The 21734-nt window shown below is 40.0% G+C and overlaps 2 protein-coding genes and 1 long non-coding RNA gene across 15 annotated transcripts in view, besides 2 other annotated features; 1 reads left to right on the plus strand and 2 right to left on the minus strand.

The window, feature by feature from the left end:
• Window positions 1–7679, minus strand: part of NUP54 (nucleoporin 54) — a 33734-nt gene extending 26055 nt beyond the window's left edge. For 5 of the 10 annotated variants that reach the window (NR_103781.2, NR_103780.2, XM_011532033.4 and 2 more), the window contains exons 1-3: window positions 7590–7679; window positions 3672–3755; window positions 3431–3574 (exon numbers count right to left, since the gene is read on the minus strand). Coding sequence is in view for 5 of the 10 variants with exons in the window: in XM_011532033.4 (XP_011530335.1) it covers window positions 3431–3574; window positions 3672–3755; window positions 7590–7656 (295 nt within the window). In the remaining 5 variants the exon portion in view is untranslated. Of the gene's footprint in view, window positions 1–3430; window positions 3575–3671; window positions 3756–4836 lie in introns of all 10 variants that reach the window. The other 5 variants (XM_047415783.1, NM_001278603.2, NR_103782.2 and 2 more) reach the window with 4 other exon arrangements.
• Window positions 7629–7788: an enhancer, noted in NCBI's record as "active region_21626". NCBI's record gives its function as "activates an Ori minimal core promoter by ATAC-STARR-seq in GM12878 lymphoblastoid cells {active_cell/tissue: GM12878}" and the evidence as "EXISTENCE:reporter gene assay evidence [ECO:0000049][PMID:35858748]".
• LOC124900718 (uncharacterized) lies at window positions 7831–18049 on the plus strand. Its single transcript, XR_007058144.1, has 2 exons — window positions 7831–7884; window positions 8489–18049. It is a non-coding gene; the product is annotated as an uncharacterized LOC124900718 (long non-coding RNA).
• Window positions 13630–14459: an enhancer, noted in NCBI's record as "NANOG hESC enhancer chr4:77075501-77076330 (GRCh37/hg19 assembly coordinates)". NCBI's record gives its function as "activates a minimal SCP1, AML or CMV promoter by ChIP-STARR-seq in primed H9 embryonic stem cells {active_cell/tissue: H9 hESC(primed)}" and the evidence as "EXISTENCE:reporter gene assay evidence [ECO:0000049][PMID:30033119]".
• SCARB2 (scavenger receptor class B member 2) overlaps window positions 18019–21734 on the minus strand; it is a 75796-nt gene continuing 72080 nt past the window's right edge. For all 4 annotated transcript variants that reach the window (XM_047416429.1, NM_001204255.2, NM_005506.4 and 1 more), the window contains one exon: window positions 18019–21033. In XM_047416429.1, the coding sequence (XP_047272385.1) occupies window positions 20995–21033 (39 nt within the window). In that variant the 3' untranslated portion in view covers window positions 18019–20994. The remainder of the gene's footprint in view (window positions 21034–21734) is intronic.

The following is a 21734-nucleotide window of genomic DNA, read 5'->3' on the forward strand; positions in this document are numbered from 1 at the left end:
ACCAGGCAACATTGAGACCTGAGGTTGGTGATCAAGAATTTAGAGAGGTATTATCCCCTCTTCCATAATGTGTGATCTTTCTCAAGCAATATCTACACAGACAGTTGGGCTTACAAAGGCTTGGGGTTTTTTCAGGCAAATGTGACACAAAAACAAGGAAGTTTAGCATATTGGCAAGAGATATAGAAATGGAAGGCCATGGAATCTAAGCTAGTTAGAGTAGTGAAGACAGAAAGAGCTAACAGAGCAGAAAGTATCAGTTGTCGAAAGATCCAACAGTCTTCTGAAGGATCCTCGATAATCCATGCTTTGGCTTGGAAAGGACTTCTGGCGGTTGTCACAAAGTCAAATGTGACTTTTCCCCTTGATTCACAGGTATTGCCAACTGAGATAGGAATAGCTGTGATTAGTAAAAGGGAGCTAATAAGTATGAGGAATACATGGACGGGCATCTCTATACTGAGATAGGACAAGCAGTGGTCCTAACAATGCTGCTCGCTAATTTATGGTCAAAATCCTACTTGGCTTGGGGATAGGAGATGGCAGCATTTAAGTGTTAGTGTTTCTAAGAGTTTTGTTCTAGTACTCTCCTCTTACTCTGGAATCAGGTCTCCTAAATTACATCATCCATATCTACCACTTTAAATACTACTTACGTTCTGATGGCTTTCATAAATATATACAACTACCCAAGGGACACCTCAAACTCATTATCTACCCACAAACATCTGCTCTTGCTTTAGTATTCTGGATCTTAGTGAAGAGCAAGGGATCCTTCAGTTACGCCACCCAGAAGCCCAAGATACCTTTATCCAGTCATTCGCTTTTATTGATTCTACAAGTTAAATCTCTCTCAAATTCACATCCTGTTTTTTCTCTCCATTCTTAACTGTCACTGCCTTAATTCAGGTCTTCACTATATCTTGCTCAGATTTTGGCAACAGCTTCACCAGATCTCTGCCTCCATTCCAACCCACCTATAATCTATCTTTGTATTTCTCTAAGAGATACTTCTAAAAATCTGATTATTTTCCTGTCTACTTAATCCTACAACAGTTTAGAATTGCTTAAAGGACAGCTCCTTAGTAAAACATATAAGGCACGCTAATAATCCAATTCATATCTATCTCTCCAACTCTCACTACTGACCCTGAGGTCATTTATGCATTAAAAAAACTGCACTGATCTAGTTATACTGGTCCCAAAGGCATTATACTCTGCCATAAACCATGCCATGTTATTTCCTCTGCGTGGATACCCTAGAATCTCCTTGACTATGAGCAAGGATTGTGGTCTTCAACCTTGTACACCCAATGCCTGACATACGATATATACAATAAATGGATATTACATAACAAAATGAGCCCCTTTCAATTTTAAAATAGCACCAGATTCAAATTCCCATTTTCCTAAAAAAACCAAATGTAACTACAGTTACTCATAGTTGGAGAGACTTTATTTCAAGAAACAAAGGAAACACTTCACTTTTGCTGTTCTTTCCTTAACTACTTAAATATTTCATCAAATTTTGTATTTTTGCAGGATTGTAGAAAAGACGAATGACTGGAATACTTGAAAGAATAATTCTGAGAATACTATTCTATTATCTTCATCCTACTGTTAGGCAATCCTTGAAATTCATGTTTAATAAGTTAATAACTAATCTTCAGTGACTGAGTAGGATGAATTTTAGCTAGTCAATCAAGTTACTTAAAAAAATGAAACAGAAGTAATTTTAAGAGGCATCAGATTGGAAAAGTGAAAAGAGCACTAGAATGAGTAGTTGAATTTGCATCCCTGTACTTCTTCTAGAGAGGTATACAGGTAAGTCACAATCTCTCAGGTTCCTCTCTTCACCCATAAAATGGGGATAACAAAAGTATTATTTCACAGGGTTCTTGTGAGAATAAGTTAATCCATACAGAACAACCCCTGGAACCTACTGCCATACCACCTAGTAAGGATGGTTAGTAAGGAAGCCATCAAAGACTAATAACCAGACTGTCTCAAAGGGACTTGGGAGCCAACTTGAAAAGGCTTGCACTGGCCAAAGATGTAACAATTTAAGCATCAATAAGAATGGTAACTGCAATGGATTAAAAAATAGTAACTAGTTTAAAGGCTGCAGTTTCTGACATTAAAAAAAAATTGGTCATCTTTGGAGAATGCTAGATAACCAACTCTTTATTCTGAAAACCAGTAATAAAGAGAAAGAATCAACCAAACAGATGAAGTCAAGTTTCTCCTCACAGAAGTATTTCAACAAATAAATGAATCCAGGTGGAATGGCACTATTTGTAACCCCTAATGAATTAATGGATCTAGGTAATGATCACCAATGGCTCAATGGCTGATCACTCAAAAAAAAAAGATATTATATGTCTTCTGATAAAAAATAGGCCTATAAAATAGTCTTGCAAACAAACAACAAAACAACAAAATATATATATGTACGCCCCAGATCTAACCCAATCATCAAGAAATACAGAGAACAAAGGAATGTGTTAAACTATACCATAGGCGTGCAATCAGAAAAGTCTTGACTAAAAAACTCTATAGGATAAATGATCTGTTTTCTTCAACAAATTAAAAAATAAAAAAGAGAGGCCAGGCGCGGTGGCGCACACCTGTAATCCCAGCACTTTGGGAGGCCGAGGCAGGCAGATCACGAGGTCAGGAGTTCCAGACCAGCCTGGCCAATATGGTAAAACTCCGTCTCTACTAAAAATACAAAAATTAGCTGGGCGTGGTGGTGTGCGCCTGTAGTCCCAGCTACTCAGGAGGCTGAGGCAGAAGTATCGCTTGAACCTGGGAGGCGGAGGTTGCAGTGAGCCGAGGTCGTGCCACTGCACTCCAGCCTGGGCGACAGAGCAAGACTCCGTCTCAAAAAATAAAAAATAAATAAAAAAGAGAGATAAAAGAGGAGCCTATGGAGATTTAAGACAGGCAAAACCAAATACTGTTTACATACTTGAATGACAAAATATAAAGTAAGAAAATGATCACCATAAAAGCCAAGACTGCAGGTCCTCTGATGGGGAAGCAATTGGTAGGGAAATGTGGTAGGCTTCTGAACTGGCTGGCCAGGAACCATCTCCTGACATGGGCAGTGATTACAAGGGTGTTAACCTTTGTAAACTTATATATAATTCATTAAGCTGTACTTTTGTGCAGTTTCTCTATTTGTTATTTTTAACAACAAAAATTTAAATGGAATGATCCTAAACACAGGGACCTTATAATCCTAACTGTGCCAATCAGTGTTCTCCCCAGTTGCTATCATATTTAAACATGAAAAGTAACATTCCTAATCCTTTGGAATATATTAATAATTCTTATAAAAAGTCCACTAAAGTATTCTGAATGCACTCAATAATGTCAGCTAGTATCATCACGGTTTTGTATTTGAAGCTGAAAACCTCATACTTACTAGTTTGCTGCTGCTGCTGTGTATTAAATCCTCCAAATCCCAGTCCAGTTCCCAAACCAGTACCTAAACCAGTACTAGTTCCCGTTGTTGTGCCAAAACCAGTACCAAATCCAAAACCTTTGTTCTGAGTACCACCAAAGAGTCCTTTGAATGAAAAATTGGAACTTCGTAAGTTAAAAAAAAAAAAAAATCTGACCTCTACTTCATTTACTTCTATGAATGACTTAAGATGGCCTCTTACCAGTAGTGCCTGTGTTAGTTGGGGCAGAAAAGCTGAATGCAGAACCTGCAGTTGTAGATGTTGTCCCAAATCCTCCAAACCCACCTAATTAAAAAAGAACAAAAATAGAAAGGAAGAATCTTTTGTATATATAAAGGCAACTTCTTTTTAAAATTATTTTATAATTGCTACATATAAAATCAAAATATATTGATCTAATTTTTCCTTTCCCTACTTTCAAGATCAATTTTTTAAAAAACTATACTACCAATCAAGAAGTCAAAATGTTACAAGAAATGAACTAAGCATTTAAAATAGAAATATCACAATGTAATATATACCCTTCAATTAAAGGGGTGGTTAACAGTTACAGCTGAGAAAACACATTAAGCCTATTGCCATAATTCTAAAATGACTATGTATGTACTTTTAGAGGAGGTGTTGCAAATTCATATGCCTAGAAGATTTAGACTGATAACAGTAAAGAGTAAAGTAGACTATGTGTTTACTGATAGGTGGAACTGTTTAAAATGAATAGTTTTTTAGATCAGCAGTTCCTAAATTCCAGCAGATACAAGAAAGGTAGTTTAGCAGTGTCACATATTCCCATTTTTTACCCCAAGAGAAACAGGAAATCTGGATTTTCTATGTAAAATTTATTGGTTTTTGGCTGGGCGCGGTGGCTCATGCCTGTAATCCCAGCACTTTGGGAGGCCGAGGGGGGTGGATCACAAGGTCAGGAGATCGAGACCATCCTGGCTAACACGGTGAAACCCCGTGTCTACTAAAAATACAAAAAATTAGCCGGGCGTGGCGGCGGGCGCCTGTAGTCCCAGCTACTCAGGAGGCTGAGGCAGGAGAATGGCGTGGACCCGGGAGGTGGAGCTTGCAGTGAGCCAAGATCTTGCCACTGTACTCCAGCCCGGGCGACAGGGTGAGACTCCGTCTCAAAAAAAAAAAAAAAAAAAAAATTTATTGGTTTTTAAACCCTAATTCAACTACTTTTTTTTGCAAGGAATTCAAATGTTTTGAAAACAGCATGCCAAACATATCACATTGGCAGACTTGTTGCCAGTTAGCAACCTTGGTTTTGGTGAATTAATTTATGTCTAAATTAACTTATATTTCTACTTAGTCTCTGTCAAGACTAAGTAACTTTTCAAAGGAAGCATACCAATATACTTACCTCCAAACAACAAGAATGTGTTTCTTGAAGGAAGAGATTTGACAGATAAATGGAATGCTAGCCAATCTAAAATTGTTTTGTTATTTTTGTAACTTATTGTCAGTCTTCAGCTGATTACCAATGTGGTATCAAAAAGCCTTTCAAGACAAATGTTTGAACCATTAGTGTCGAATTATATTGCAGATTTTTTGGAATCTTCCTTTAATCTCATTTATTTCTGGTATACAACACAGATTCATCAATATTGCAATATAGAAAATACAAGAAGAAAAACATGCAACCATTTTATATTAATCACCTCATTCTGATTTGGAAAACTACTCAAGAGTAAGCTGCATGTTGCATGCAGGCACAACTAAATATTCTATTTACTTGTAGGTTCTACTGCAGTACTGCAAACTATAAACATTTTCATAAAAGTCACCCACAGTACTAAGCACTGTTGTAATTTCTTTTCATTATTCTTCACTTCCATAGAATAACTATGATATAATCTGAATTGGCTACGCAATAGAAACACTAGTCAGTTTCTCATCATGCTCCACAACATCAAAAATGTTTTAGTAATAGCAGATCTGCAAGTATACAAAATAAAAAGTAAACAAGAAAGTCTATCAGCCCTTTGCTGAAGGTTAACACATATAAAAGTAGTTAAAACATATTACATTATCATAACTCAAAACTTAACAGTGATAACTCCAAATGAACATGAAATCAAGCAAATACCAACAAGTTTATTTATTGTTGTTGAATTATGAGCTGGGTGGCTTTATTCAGAAACACAAATTTCAAAGTAAGATTTCTGTTTTACCCAGTGCCAATTTTAAGCAAACAAGGAAAAGTAAACACATCAAAGGACAGTGATATGTGATTACTTCGAATACATCTTAATTAAAATGCATCATCTTGTCTTTGAAGTTTTCAAATATTCTTCGAACTGTTTTCAACTCAGATGCTAGGGTGATAATCACATTGCAGTAACCAGTGAATGAACAAAATAACAAACTTCCCAATTAACTTTTAGGGAGTAAATAATGTTTATCAAATGCATATAATTGGCATGGGCACAAGAGGCATAACGTAAGAGACTATGGACGATAAATTCATATACGAGCAGCTGAAGAACAAGTTTTTTTCTACAGTGTCACTATGTAAAGTACCCATAAACCTATTTTAAATGTATATATCATTATTGTTTTGCAAAATTTCTAATGAGCTGCAAACAACCCACGTGCATATGAAAATCTTCATAATTATCTTTTTGAATGCAAAGACGTCTAGCTTACCTTTTAGAATTCGATGCTATATCACATAAAACTAAACTGCTCTCTTTGAGCATTTCCCAAAATTCCAGCAAAGAACTGGGGATTCTTTCTATAATTACAAATCTTATAGAAATTACACATCTTATAGTATCCTAATCTGCTGAGTTGACCAAAGAAATACATTATTATCATTATAACACAAGTTAAAAAACAAAACAGGTTACTGCTGTTCGTATAAGACTTGTTTCTCTTTGGAAACACAAGGACAATAAAATGAAATCTCAATGAAAGATGCAGAAAAAATGAAAAATGACTGCAGGAGTCCAAGAATCCCAGGATGGGCTTGACTGGTGGTGAGTTTATACTTTGGAAGTCCTACCTAATAATTTTAAAGATCTATTCAAAATTATAATCCAAATGCTTATCATTTGGAAGATAAGTGCACATTTAATAAAGGAACACTGTAACTTGCAAAACTTTCCTAAACCACATCTTTTAAGGCAGTAAAAACTTGATACAGATGTTTTTGATTCGAGATAAGGAAATAAATTTCCTTTCCCTATTAGACAAGTAACTGTTCTTTCCCAAACTCCAGGAACCACAATATTCTTGGACTCCAGCTCCCAACACTGGTTACACATACAACCCGCAGTATCTACCTGCACTTGCCAGACTGTTACCAAAATTGAACGGAGTCGCCGAGGTAGTAGAAACACCGAAATTCCCAATATTAAAGTTCACTGCAGGATTAGCAGTTAATCCGAAACCCCCAAAATTAAACCCACTGGCGGTGGAGTTGGCAGTCTCAAGCCCACCAAATCCTGATAGGCGTGTAGGCAAAGAAACAAAATTTTAAAAAGGGGGAGAGGGAAAAAGAAAAGAAAGCAAGATAAGGATTAGAAGAATCAGCAGGAGGTTTCACAGAAGTGAACAAACCTGGTTTTGCTCCAAACAGTTTAAGAAAGCAGAGTGGGGGTGGGGTGGGGCAGATGGAAGAAGCATGACGGATAAACCCCACAGCGAGGACCACAGGGGGCCGGGGGTGGAACTAAGGGAGTCAATGGGCAGTGCCGGTGGATCCCCAGCCCTATCCTCGCCGAGTCCGGCAGCGGGAACCACGCAAGCGTTCCCGCCCATCCAGGAGGCTGAGGTGCAGAGGGGAGGGAGGTTCTCGGGCAAGGGGAGAGGGAAGCAACCTCCAATTTCTCTGAGTAGGACTCCCCGGCAGCGGGAAGCGAACCGCTCAAGCCAGGGCCCTGTGGAAACTCACGCGCGGCAAGCGAGCTTCTAGTGGGACCCCGAGTACCCCCGTGGCCTCCTCGGGTGCCGCCTCGGCCCACTCTGCCGCCGCCCGCCCTTTTCCAATGCCTCTAAAGTCTCCGCGTCGGCGGGAGATTCCAGGATCCCCAGGTCGGAGAGTCTCGGACAGAGGGGGCGGACCAGACCCTTCCCCTTCTTCCCGGGTGAAGGTCTAGGGGGATCACTCACCCGCGGGGGCCGCGGTGGCTGCAGCGGTACCGGAGGTGCCCGAGGGAGCCCCAAAATTGAAGGCCATGTCGCGAAAGCAGGAGACCAAGTAGGTTACTCCTGCGACGCGCAGCGCGCTCCCCTTCTCAGTCCGGCCGGGAAACCGCCAGTCAGATCACCGAGTTCCGCCTCCTTTCTGACCTAGCCTAAGAGGCCGGAAGGCGCCAAGGGCGTAGGAGGTGGGTGGTTGTGAGGGAACGCCCCCAGCCAGCTCACTTCCGGTGGGCTTCACATGCTGTGGGGTGTCACTGTTAAGGTAAAATGCTGGGACGCTCGCGAGGGTGTGCCGCCTGAGAGTCCTTTAAAAACTGCCGTAGGGAGGTTCTTTGGGAAAGGTGTGCAGAGGCTGAAGTTGTTACTGTAGGGATACGCGGTAGACAGCTAGAATTTGTATGTGGTAGGGTTGAAGTTGCTGCCTCATCAACTAGCGGGCCTGGGAGGTCGGGCAGCAGGGCTGGGGTTGAGAACCCCCCCAACACCCACGAGGAGGTGGTATTTGAACCCAGTGCTGAAGGATGAGTAGACGGAGCAGAAGCAGTAAAGAGGATGCACGTTGGAAGAAATGAAAGCGAATGGAATTGTAGCAAACACGTTGCGTTTACTATGTGCCAGGCACTCTTCTAGACATTTTACATAATTTAATCAGCTATCTTATGAGGTGGGTTGCTGCTATCTCCAATTTATAAAAGAGGAAACAGGTACCAAAGGGTCAGGCTGTTTACAGAGTAAATACTCCTAACCACAGCTCTAAGGGGAGCACTGAAAAAGAGGGGAAGAGTGGGCCCCCTCTGTTGTACTTGTAATATAATTTAATCCTCAGAATAAATAAATAGAGAAGATTCTGTAACTGTATTTTGCAGGTGAGATGAGAGAATTGAGGTTTGGAGTTGTTAAGCAGCTTGCCCAAAGTCACCTTGCAGGTAGGTTCTGGAGTCTGGTTTTGGACTCATGTTTCTCCACTCCAGAGTCCCAATTTGTAAAAATTACCATTATATTATATTGCCTTGTAAATTATGGTAAGGATTTCAGACTATTTCTTGAGGGTAATGGGAAACCTTTAAGGGGTTTTAGGCAGAGGACTAGTATGACTAGAATTTTGTTTTTAGAAGATCCCTCTGGCTGCCATAAGGAGAATGGATTGGAAGGAGCCAGAATGCCTGAGGAAGATAGAGCTTTTAGGAGTCTGTTGTAGTTGCACAGGTAGGAGATGATAATGACTTGGATTACATCTGGCAGTGGAATTAGGAGAATAAATTTGAGAGATACTTAAGAAATAGCATATATGAGACTCGTAGTATTTGGACGTGGGAAGTAAGGATTCAAGGACAACCTCCTGCTTTCTGGCTTGGGCAAGTTGGTGAATGGTGGACCCGTGTCTGACTCCTACAAACTGAGTATGCTCTCATACCCACTGCCCTGCCTTCTTTCACTGTTTGTCACAGATAATTTATCAATCTAATTTTTCCTTACAATAGTATATATTCCATAAGTGCAAGAACCATGTCCCTCTTGTTCCATGCCCATCACAAGTGCCTGGCATATAACAGGGGGAAATAAATAATGAATGAATGACAGATAGGTGGAAACCAGATCTTGAAAGACCTTCCTTAGCATGTTAAGGAGCTTTGATTTACCAGCAGTTTGTCCAGCTGCGGCCCACAGGCCACATGTGGCTCATGGCTTAGGATGGCTTTGAATGCAGCCCAACACAAATTCGTAAACTTTATTGAAACATTGTGAGGTTTTTTGCGATTTTTTTTAAAGCTCATCAGCTATTGTTAGTGTATTTTATGTGTGGCCCAAGACAATTCTTCTTCTTCCAGTGTGGCCCAAGGAAGCCAAAAGATTGGACACCCCTGATTTAGCACATAGCCTAACGCTTAAGTACTTAGCTTACCTTAAAAAAACAAACAACCATTCTTCTTCTTCCAGCGTGGCCCAGGGAAGCCAAAAGATTGGACACCCCTGATTTAGCACATTGTCTAATGGCTAAGTACTCAGCTTACCTTAAAAAAACAAACAGCCCTCCCAGTCTAGCAGAAAGGAAAACCAATGATTAATTTATGGAATCTGCCAGAAGCTCAGGAATTGGAGATATCACGTATCTTCATAAGTTGGGGTAAAGGGAAGTTAAAATGAGAGGAACTGGTTGAAAGTCTATTTAAGAAGCAGTTAGAGCTCCCCAAATCCTCTTCTGACCTCGTGCAGCCAAGTGAATGCTTCTTCCCCACTCTAGAAAAATAATGGAGGATTCTTCTCTACAGTGATTAAAATAGTATTTGCCAGGCACAGTGGCACCAGCCTATAGTCCCATCTACTCGGAAAGCTGATGTGGGAGGATTGCTTGAGCCTAGGAGTTCAGCCAGCCTGGGCAACACAGTGGGGACTCCCCCCCACCCCCCGTCAGTGTAAAAAAAAAAAAAATAGTAGTGTCTCTGGACTTGGGGGCACCAGACATTATTGAGAGTGGGTAGTGCCCTACTGAATGGTGGAAGACTGAGTGGAAATGCATGCCTATACACACCTTCCCCTACTGCTCCCAGAACATTGGCAGCCAGGCCTTCGCCCTCCAGGAAGATATAGGAGAATTTTTTATGGGTGAAATGACCAGTATCAAAGAAAAGACAATCATCTGACATCAGAAATCTCTAAATAAATGATTTAGCCACATGACATTATAGCAGTGGTTCTCAACTGGTGCCAATTTTCTACTTCTCCCATCCCCTGGCACATCTGGCAGTGTCTACAGACAGTTTTGGTGGTTGCAATTGGGAAGATCTTACAGGCATCTATTGAGTAGAAGTTGAAGATGCTGCAAAATACTCTAGGACAGACTCCCTTCCTACCCAAACAAAAAATTACCTGGCCCCAAATACCACTATTACAGAGTTTGAGAAATCCTGCTTTATAATAAAGCTCACACTTTGCAAGCCTCACTAAGGCACTCAGAACTTCCATTCAGCTTTTAAGTCCCACTCTTATATATGAGTAGACCAGCAAGGATTACCAAGCTGAGGAGAGCCTTTAACACAATGTATAGAGGTCAAAACAAATAGAGCAGCAAAAGCAGCTTGGAGGAAACTAACTGCAAGGAGAATAAAACTTTTAAAAAGTGAACATATCCGCAGAGAGATAGGAAGAGATATTGTAACCATGAAATAATATCAGGATGTTATTATTTTCAAAGAAAGGTATTCTTAGCAGAACAAAAGAGAGCTATTGGAATTTTAAAGCTATTACCAGAAATGAAAAACCCAGTAGAAGTGTCGGAAGATAAAGGTGAAGAAATCTCTCAGAAAGAAAAACAAAAAGACCAAGGATGGAAAATTGAGGAGAAACTAAAACTAGAGGACTAGTTCAAAAAGCCCTCTATCACACACACTGTTATATCATGCACACTAATACAATAATTTCAGAAAGAGTATAGAGAAAAATCTGTCCTTTAAAGTCCTTCAAGATTTGGTCTCTTCCTATTATTCGTTCATTCAGAGTTTATTGAGTCCTACTATGTACTTGGTACTATTCTGAGTGCTAAACAAAAAAGGTATGGTTTGTGCCTTTGAGAACTTACAGTTGAGTGAGGGAAAACCAGATATTGAGTTAATAGTACACTTGTGGGCCAAGTGCAGTGGCTCATACTTGTAATCCCAGCACTTTGGGGGACCAAGGCGGCAGAGTCACTGAGCTGGGGAGATTGAGACCAGCCTGGGTAATATAGGGAGACCCCATCTCTACAAAAAAAAAAAAAAATAGACCAAATTAGCCAGGTGTGGCACACGCCAATAGCCCCAGAGGTTGACGCTGCAGTGAGCAGCCATCATGCCACTGCACTCCAGCCTGGGTGACGGAGTGAAACATTGTCTCAAAAATAAAGAAAAAAAAAATAGTATACTTGTGACTGTTCAAGAAGGCAGCACAGCTGAGGAAATTATTAAATAATTCAAGAAAATTTATCATAATTGAAAGACACTGCTGGGTTGAAAATGGTTCACCAAATGCTCATTACAATTAATCAAAATAGACTCACACTAAGGCACATTCCAAAATAACAGAACCATGATGGCAAAGAAGTTTCCAGAGAGTAAAAGAGGTCACACACACAAAAACAAGAATCAAAATGGCATCAGACTTCTCAATGGTAACACTAGCTAGAAGGCAGTTGAGAAATGCCTTTGAATTTCTGAATACAAATTATTTCCAGCTACAATTCTATTCCCAGCCAACTTATAGATCAACTATGAAGGGAGAATAATAGCATTTTTAGACAAAAAAAAAACTATTAAAAAACAAAATACCTCCTATTTCTTAGGCAGTTAGTTACTAGAGGATGTTTGCCACCAAGATGGAGCCAATGCTGAAAGAGGAAGACATTAGGAGCTCCAACACAGATGGCAGGAATCCTCAGGATGACTTGGAGAGCAACCAGTCCAGACTGTAGCAAGTCAGGTTCTGGGGAAGGCTACTTCATAAGGATGAGCAATTTGAGAGAGACTTAGACAATCAGCAACAAGGTTGGGGTTGAATTGGTAATAAATACATGAAAACTAAGCCAGTGGGACAATTAATATTAGATGAGAAAGGAAAAGTGTTGAAATGTTACTACATGGCTCAATTGTGCAGTTTCCACATCATCCCAATAATGTGAATTGAATATTGAGCTAGACAAAATTATGGCATAACTATACTGGAAAGATGGGGGAATGAAAAGAATATTTATGTGCATAGAAAAGAGCTAAGCCCTCATCCTCCATGGTGGGGAGTCAGTGGGTAATGCTGAAACAAAATTCACCAAGCAGCGTATCATTTATCTGGAGACAAGGGGGTAAATTTAAAAAAAAAAAAAGGCTAAAAGAGGTGCCTGCAAGCACTCTGAGAGTAGTATCTGCTTTTCTTATCTTTTTTAAAAATAACAATTGTAGAATTGTTTGATTGTTAGTATGTGCTTATATGTATAACTTTAATAAAAATGAAAACAAACAATAACAAAAAGCCTTTGTACTTATTAAAATTACTAATGTCGTTTGACCCAGCAATGCTACTTCTAGGAATTTATCTTATAAATGATTTGGCAAAATAATGGAATACAAGGTAATTCATTACAACACTATCTATAATAATGATTGGAAACAAACCAGGGTTTGGGTAAATAAATTGTTGCTTTTATACAAAGGAATACTATTCCGCTATGAACTGGGAACAAAAAAGCCCTTTATGTACTGAAAAGAAAGACCTCAAAGATAAATTACATGTGGAATGTTCATCCTTGGAGTTGAAAAAACAAAATTACATGAAAAATGCACAATTCAGAACACTGTATGTATGCTACAATTTGGGTTTTAAAAAAAAGAGGGCTAGAATATATAAATACACATAATTTGTACAAAATATTCCTGGAAAAATACATTTGAAAAACCAAATAATATTGGTTGCATGTGGGAAGATGTATTGGGTGGCTAGGAAATGGGTAGAGGAAGACTTTTACCCTAAACCCGTTTTATGCATTCTGAAAATGTAGAAGGGTTACTTATTTAAAAAACTAAGTAATGCTGGCTAATATGGTGAAACCCTGTCTCTACTAAAAATACAAAAAATTAGCCAGGCGTAGTGGCACGCGCCTGTAGTCCCAGCTACTTGGGAGGCTGAGGCAGGAGAATCGCTTGAACTCGGGAGGTGGAGGTTGCAGTGAGCCAAGATCGCGCCACTATAGCCTGGTGACAGACTCTGTCTCAAAAAACAAAACACACATACAAAAAACCCTAAGTAATGCTAATTGTTTCGGGAAGTCAGGGACCCCAAACGGAGGGACCGGCTGAAGCCATGGCAGAAGAATGTGGATTGTGAAGATTTTATGGACATTTATTAGTTCCCCAAATTAATACTTTTATAATTTCTTATGCCTGTCTTTACTGCAATCTCTAAACATAAACTGTAAAGATTTCATGGACACTTATCACTTCCCCAGTCAATACCCTTGTGATTTCCTATGCCTGTCTTTACTTTAATCTCTTAATCCTGTCAGCTGAGGAGGATGTATGTCACCTCAGGACCCTGTAATAATTGCATTAACTGCACAAATTGTACAGCATGTGTGTTTGAGCAATATGAGATGTGGGCACCTTGAAAAAATAACAGGATAACAGCAATTGTTCAGGGAATAAGAGAGATAACCTTAAACTCTGACCGCTGGTGAGCTGGGCGGAACAGAGCCATATTTCTCTTCTTTCAAAAGCAAATGGGAGAAATATCGCTGAATTCTTTTTCTCAGCATGGAACATCCCTGAGAAAGAGAATGTGTGCCTGCGGGTAGGTCTCTGAACTGACCCCCCTGGGCTTAGCCGTCTCTTATGGTCGAGGCTGCAGAGATGAAATAAACTCCAGTCTCCCATAGCACTCCCAGGCTTATTAGGAAGAGGAAATTCCCGCCTAATAAATTTTGGTCAGACTGGTTGATCTCAAAACCCTGTCTCCTGATAAGATGTTATTAATGACAATGGTGCCTGAAACTTCATTAGCAATTTTAATTTTGCTTCGGTCCTGTGGTCCTGTGACCTCGCCCTGCCTCCACTTACCTTGTGATATTCTATTACCCTGTTAAGTACTTGATGTCTGTCACCCACACCTATTCGCACACTCCCTCCCCTTTTGAAACTCCCTAATAAAAACTTGCTGGTTTTTGTGGCTTGTGGGGCATCACGGATCCTACCAATGTGTTATGTCTCCCCCCGACGCCCAGCTTTAAAATTTCTCTCTTTTTGTACTCTGTCCCTTTATTTCTCAAGCCGGCCGACGCTTACGAAAAATAGAAAAGAACCTACGTGATTATCGGGGCAGGTTCCCCGATATCTGGCGCCCACGTGGTCTTTCTTTTGCAGGATTCCTAGTGACAGTGCAGATGTGCAGGTGAGGACAGCAGGAATGAAGACTGATGGGTGATTGCTTAATTGATTGTATATGGAGGGGAGGGAAAGGAGGAGTCTAGCATGAGTCCCTGATTTCTGGCTATACAGTGAGATATGATTGTGATGCTATTTTCTAGTAATGGGAATTTGGGAAGAAAAGAAAAATGAGTTCCTTTACTTACTGCATTTGAGGCATCCTGGCTAAGGATATCCAGCAGGTGTCTGGATATGTGAGGCTGAAGCTGAACAGTAAATCCCATTTACTTCGCCGACTTCAATTACAACCCAAACACAAACCAACCTGTATTGTGGAAAGAAAGACCTCAAAGATAAATTACATGTGGAATGTTCATCCTTGGAGTTGAAAAAAAAATTACATGAAAAATGCACAATTCAGAACACAACCCAACCTGTGTTTAGGTTGTAATTGAAGTCTGGGAGGTAAATGGGATTGTCAGGGAGAGAGTATCAAGTGAGAAGAGGTTGTAGCTGAGCACTAGTAGTAAGAAGAGAGCAGAGAGCCCTCAAGGGAGCCTGAGATACAGGGGCCAAATCCAGCCCACTGCTGATTTTTGTAAAATACTCTTTTGTTGGAACATAGAGACATCATTTATGTGTTGTCTTTAGCTGCTTTCATGCTGTTAAGAACAGAATTGAATAGTTGTGACAGGGCACCTGGCTTGCAAAGCAAAACGATTTTCTGTATGGCCCTTTGGAGAAGTTTTTCAAACCCCACCTAGACTACTGCAGCAGCTCCCATAGCATAATGAGCAAGACTGTCTATGACCTTGGCAGTTCATTCTTGGTTGCCTGCAGAATAAGTTAGCTGTGGCTGGGGTTTCCTCCTTCTAGGGAAAAGGCTGCACCCAAGCTCAGGTTCCCATGGGACTGGTGCCTTCTTCATCACAGGAGTGGAGATTTTTAACATTCCATGGACAGCTGGCATTTCCAGACAACTCCTGTAAATCATTGGCACTCCAAATCCAAACCACCTGTTGCTCAGCACCTTGTGTATTCTCCCGTTGACGAGACTGCTTCTTCAAGCTTGCCCTATTAAAGGGGAGACTAGTAGGATGTGCTCTTCTGAAACCAAACAGCGTTGTGGGCCTTGGCTCACCTCTCCATGGGATAACATGAGGATGGTACCTTCTTTTTTCCCGGCCCTGTAAATTTGTATTTCCTCCAGTGAAGCTCATTCCTTAACCCATGCTATGTAGCTTTGTGGATTCACCCTGAAGGGTGGTGTATGACAGCTGATGACCCAGAAGACCCATCTTGCATGCCAATGGAGACCTAGCACAACAGCTCCTAATTGATCTCTCTGCATCCATGTTGATTCTCTTCAATTGTAGTCTTCATCTTGCAGCTAGAATGGGTCTTTCTAAACAGACTTGCCCACCTTCCTCCCACAACCCAATTGAAAACACAATAGCTCCCCATTGGTCTTAAGACATACCAAAATACCCAAATCTTTAATATGGTTTAATGAGACTCAAGATGATCTGGCCTCTGCCTTTTTCTCCAGCCTTATTTCCCACCGTTCATCCCTCTCTGGACTGCAGCCAAATATTTTCTCAGTCACTTGTAGTAAACACGTTTCCTCCTGCCCTTGACCATGTCCTGTTCCTTTTGTCTGAAATACCTTGCTTTGCTTAATTAACTCCAGCTCCTAGTCATGTTCCCAAAACAATGAACTCAGTTGAAATTTTACATTTATCTGTATGATTATTTGGTTACTGTTTTCCACACTAGACCATAAGATCCATAGATCTCTTTTAAACCAGTAGCCTAGTTTATATTCAAAGTGCCTAGCATAAAGTGAGTGCTTAATGAAATTAGTTGAACACATTTTTAGGTATAATGTAGAAAGAAGCCAGGATCCAAATACCACATACTGTATGATTATATAAAATGTCTCGAGAAGGCAAATCTATAAAGACCGACAGATGATTAGTGGTTTGCCAGGGGCTAGGGTTGGCAACGCTGAGTGGCTATAAACTGGCATGAGGAATTTTATTGAGGTTATGGAAATGTTCTAAAACTGCACAACTCAGTAAATTTACTAAAAATCATTGTACATTTAAAATGGGTGACTTTTATGGTATGTAAATTATACCTCAATAAAGGTGTTTAAAAACTTGACTAAATGAAAAAATATAGTTATTGGAAATGAGATCTTTATCTTGTGCTGAATGTGTATACATCTTTTTATACTTTGTATTCTATACCACTCATCCTATACTATTTTCTTATTGCTAATGGATATATGTTTTAACATACCTTATTGTTTTAAATTTTTTTTTCTGGATTTTTCTTACTCCCTGATTTGAAATAACTAGGCTTGGCATGTTACAAAGTTCCAGGTGTCTCTAACTACCTTGAGTAAGAAGAAATAGGTACAAGGAGCTTCCCTGTGACATAAACCAGCTGCAGAGTTAGGATTCCTAGGAAGTATGTATCTTAGGGATCAAGTGTCCTTGATACATGACATTTGTAACACTGAGCCAGATATTTTAAGACTGATCTAGATTTGCTGATTTCAAAAATAAGTTGCAATATTGGGATGAGAAAGGTTTTAAAGGTAATCTGAATTTTAGAACTAATAACTTTAGTACCCTAGATAGTACCATAGATAAATATCCCTAGAAACAAAAGCCTCAGCACTTTGGGAGGCTGAGGTGGGCAGACTGCTTGAGCCCAGGAGTTCAAGACCAGCCTGGGCAACATGGCAAAACCTTGTCTCAACAAAATATACAAAAATTATCCAGGTGTGGTGGTGCACACCTGTAGTCCCAGCCACTAGGGAGGCTGAGGTAGGATAATAACTTGAGTCCAAGAGGTCGAGACTGCAGTGAGCCGTGATTGCACGACTGCACTCCAGCCTGGGCGACAGAGCAAGACTCTCTCAAAAAAAGAAAAAACAAAAAACAAAAAAAACCAGTGCCTCTCCAATAGCTCTTGGATCCTACTGAGCCCTTTTGGGTGGACTTATCTGCATTTTGGTTGGGTTTACCTGGAAGCAGACCTAAGATAAGGATGTTAGGACAGGTGGATGATTTGGGAAGCAGCATTGAAGGGCTGGGCGATTAAGACAGGGAATAAAGAAACACTGATAGAAAGTAGTTACCACTGTGGGCAACCCTAATTGAGGACCCATGTGGAATAAGCCTGAGAACTGGTCCTCTGAGGATTGAAACATCTATCAGCTGACTGACTCCTGCCCCATTTAGTTGAGGGTTGCCTTGGGTTATTAACTCCCTGATACTCCTATGGTGCTTTGAGGGCTCTTGAGAAAGACTTAAGACAGAAAAGCAGAATGTGGGACTGCTTGGAGTGAAACTTGTCAGGCTGATTGTAACTGTCCACTACAGCGAAGCTGAAATCAGACATGGCCCAAGTGTGTGACTCAGGGCTGCATCTGTCAAGGAACATCTTTCCAGGGAAACTCCATAAACAACAGGACATCCAATGACATATGACTTCTAGAGCAATTTTATATAAAGTGGTTTTTTATTAATGAAACATTTCATTGCATTAAGGGTAGAAATAAACATGTCAAGAACCGCATGAAGTGAACCAACTGTATAAGCTACATGAAGAGCATTCTGGTCAGTATTCTTGTTAACAGGCACAAGCAATTTAGTGATAATGTCCAGAGGGCCAAGGATGCGGACCACCTTTTGCAGAACTCATATCTCGAGCAGTTTAAATTAAAAATTAGCCTCCCTTAAGTTAAAAACCCCAATAGGGGTTAGTCGTGTAGTGCTTGTTCCACTTGACCATTAGTGATCTTTCTAGAACATGAGGAAATCAAGTCTGGTTAGAAAAGCCTGGAGCTAAAAGTGGCAAAGCCCATTTCCTGTCCTGTGCTCAACTCCTAATTTTCCCTGAGAGAAGTGAGTTAAGCTCTCTGTCTTGGTTTCTTCCTCTCTAAGTTGAGGATCATGGTACCAGAAGCTTGCATTCTGTGATCATGACAGTGCTTACAATCACAAAGCCTTTGGGGGTCTTTCTAAGATAACTGCCGCAAGAAAATGAGCATGAGAAATAATTCATCTTCAACTTAAAGCCAAATAGGTGCATTCATTCCTCTTAATCTATAATTTTGACTGTAGTTTGTAGATCTGTCTCAGACTTTTCAGAAGGATAGTATCAAATGTGATTTAAACCAAGTAACTATTAAGAATCATAAAACAGGCCAGGCCCGGTGGCTTACGCCTGTAATCCCAGCACTTTGGGAGGCTGAGGTGGGCAGATCGCAGGGTCAGGAGATTGAGACCATCCTGGCCAACATGGTGAAACCCCGTCTCCACTAAAAATACAAAATTTAGCTGGGCGTGGTGGCACGCACCTGTAGTCCCAGCTACTTGGGTGGCTGAGGCAGGAGAATTGCTTGAACCCGGGAGGCAGAGGTTGCAGTGAGCCGAGATCATGCCACTGTACTCCAGCCTGGCGACAGAGTGAGACTCTCTCAAAAAAAAAAGAATCATGACACAAGTATGGAAGTAATGTTTTTGGTCTCCCTGCCAGTGTGCAACTCAGTCTAAATGTGTATATCATTAACTGTTATCATTTACAGTATTTAAAATATCCTCCTCACAGATGATTATATCCTGATAATAGGACTAAACCAATAAGTATGCACTAGCATTGTCAATTTTATTAGTATGGATAAGTACATGCATAATTAAGACATGCCCAATTATCTAGTTAAATGTTGATAAATTCTAAAAATGTAGATATTTAGCATTATTGAAGACCAAATATTTTTGTTAGTTTTTTTACATTTTGGTGAGTTGGAGTATCTAAAGGTTCTATCTTGATTCTATAGAAAATTTGAGAGTTTAATGAATTGCCTCTTCAAGAGGGGAAATATATCACATATTGTTTTAGTGTAGAAAAAGGAAAAATTGTCAGTAAAACAATTTATTACCTCAATACAGGGATAAGAAGCTATGGAAATGAAATCTATATTTTTTTCTTCATTTGCTTACATTGAAATCCAGTTTTAAACAAAAAAAATCCTTTTGAATGGTTCAGTTGTTAAGAAATTCTATAAGCACTTTGTCAGCTAAATGTATAGGCTTCTCAATTCAAAATGAATGCTGAACTTTGAGAATCAAAGAAAATGCCCTTAAATATGCTTGAATTCTGAACACTGTGACATATGATGGCTCCCAATTCCCTGTCTTAGGTTATGCTGAAACCAAGAAGTCCTTTGAAAAGTGGTGTCTCTGCTTCTGGTCCTAACAGACCTTTCTTTAAAGTACTTTGTGCAATATTTTAAACATCCATCATTCTGTCAGCAAAATGATTGTCACAGGAAGTATAGGGCACACGTTTCTCTATTCAGTGAGTGACAGTGAGCTACAAAACACTGGAAAGAACTGAAACTGAGGAAGGAACTTGTAAAAAGAACTTCAAAATTACCAAGAAGGCGGCTGTCCCAGAAGAAATATCTCTTTAGTCTAATCAGACTTTCTGAAACTTATGTGTAACTTAGGCTGTAGATAGATGGATTTCCCATATTCATAATTTTACAAATAATCACTCAATATTAGATTAATTAATACAGTAACATATTTGGCAAGGGCGACTCAGGAAGAAAAATCAGTTACTCATTACATTCTCTCAGAAGCATCTTTTCGTAGCATGATCATTTTGACTAAAAAAAAAACAGTTAACTATCCACAAGCATCATAACTAGCAATTAATTCTACATGAAATATCTGTACTTTATCCTCACCAACATTATTTATGCATTCTCTTCGTTCACAAAAGTACAAGTTAAAAATCCTTAGGAGCTTATCACTATCAACTCATGGGTATTGCCCCACCCAACCCCTTTCCCATTTGATTCTACCCAGTATTTTATTGCAGTTGGAAGACTGAGTTTTCCTGGAAGAATTATGAACTGAAGATCAGCATAAAATGTAATATGTTTTAGAAATCAGATGCATTTGAATGATATATTGGATGAAGCTACCATTTTACCCTGGGTCCCGAACTCTTATTTACTTCTGTTTTGCAAGTGAAATGGAGGAATACAACATAAAATGGTATATACGCATTTTGAGCACAAAGTTCGGTGAATGAAGCATACTGAATGAAGTTAGACCAGTAGCATTAACAAGTGATGCAGAGACATTTTACCCACAATAGTGGTCACAAAATTCTGGAGCTACCAGCACCCAACAACAACAAAATTACTATACAAGGGTTTATTAAATACTTGCTAGACACATAAAAGAACAATTTCAGAGCCCACATGATTTTATAAAGCTTAATGGCCAGCCATGTCAGCCTGCTCTTTAACCTCTGGCCAGAATGTTCCTATCACTTGCCAGCGCCGTGTCTTTTTCCTTCTTTCAACAGGCAACAAGCCTGCAAGGAGGTGGAGGGTTTCCCCACGTCATCGTCCAGGTCAGGACAGCTCACACAGTTTCTTCACCAAGCAAAGGCAATGTTTAGGTTCGAATGAGGGGTGCTCTTTCATCCGCTGTTCCCTGAAACACAGAAGAGAGAAAACAAGTTAGATGTTCATGTCAGAAACTTCTCCCCAGTGTGAAAAGTTTGGGTGGGGAGTGGGGGCATGGAAGGAGGAGAGACCTATAGGAAGGTGGCTCATCTCACTCACCTCCCCTCTTGGGCTGCTGCTTGTTCTTGAAGATTCAGCAGGCCTAACCTTTCCAGGAGGCCTTCTCTGACCACTCCCACCCTCAATACCAGAGCAGTACCCTTCTCTGTGTTGATCTGGATTATAAAACTTAGACTCTATTCAACTTGCCTCCTTCCTGGTTTGAAACCTACTAAGGAGTAGTGTCTCAGAGGTATTAGTTCTCAATAATTCCTTGCTTGTTGAATATATGAGGAAGGTTAATTGTAGGAGCAGTAATTAACATTTCCATGAGGTTTCATTTGTGCTTAAGACAATTTCAATGACTGCATAAAGTCACACTGGAAGATCCACACATAGAAATGGCAAAATAGTTTGCCTCACAGCTAATTCAGGCTAAAGTGACTGGCAGGGGATAAGAGAAATAATGGAAGAATATGGAAGTCAGGGAAATTCAGCTAATTTTACTCAGATGGTTTCACGTATTTATTTTCTACTTCACATTTGCCTTGGACACTTAGTTGAGGAAACTGGAGGAAAAAAGGCCACTGTTGTAAAAAAAAGGAAGCTGCAGAAAATTTAAGAAGGGCT

Source organism: Homo sapiens, chromosome 4 (genome assembly GCF_000001405.40).
Source record: "Homo sapiens chromosome 4, GRCh38.p14 Primary Assembly".
Taxonomy (NCBI): domain Eukaryota; kingdom Metazoa; phylum Chordata; class Mammalia; order Primates; family Hominidae; genus Homo; species Homo sapiens.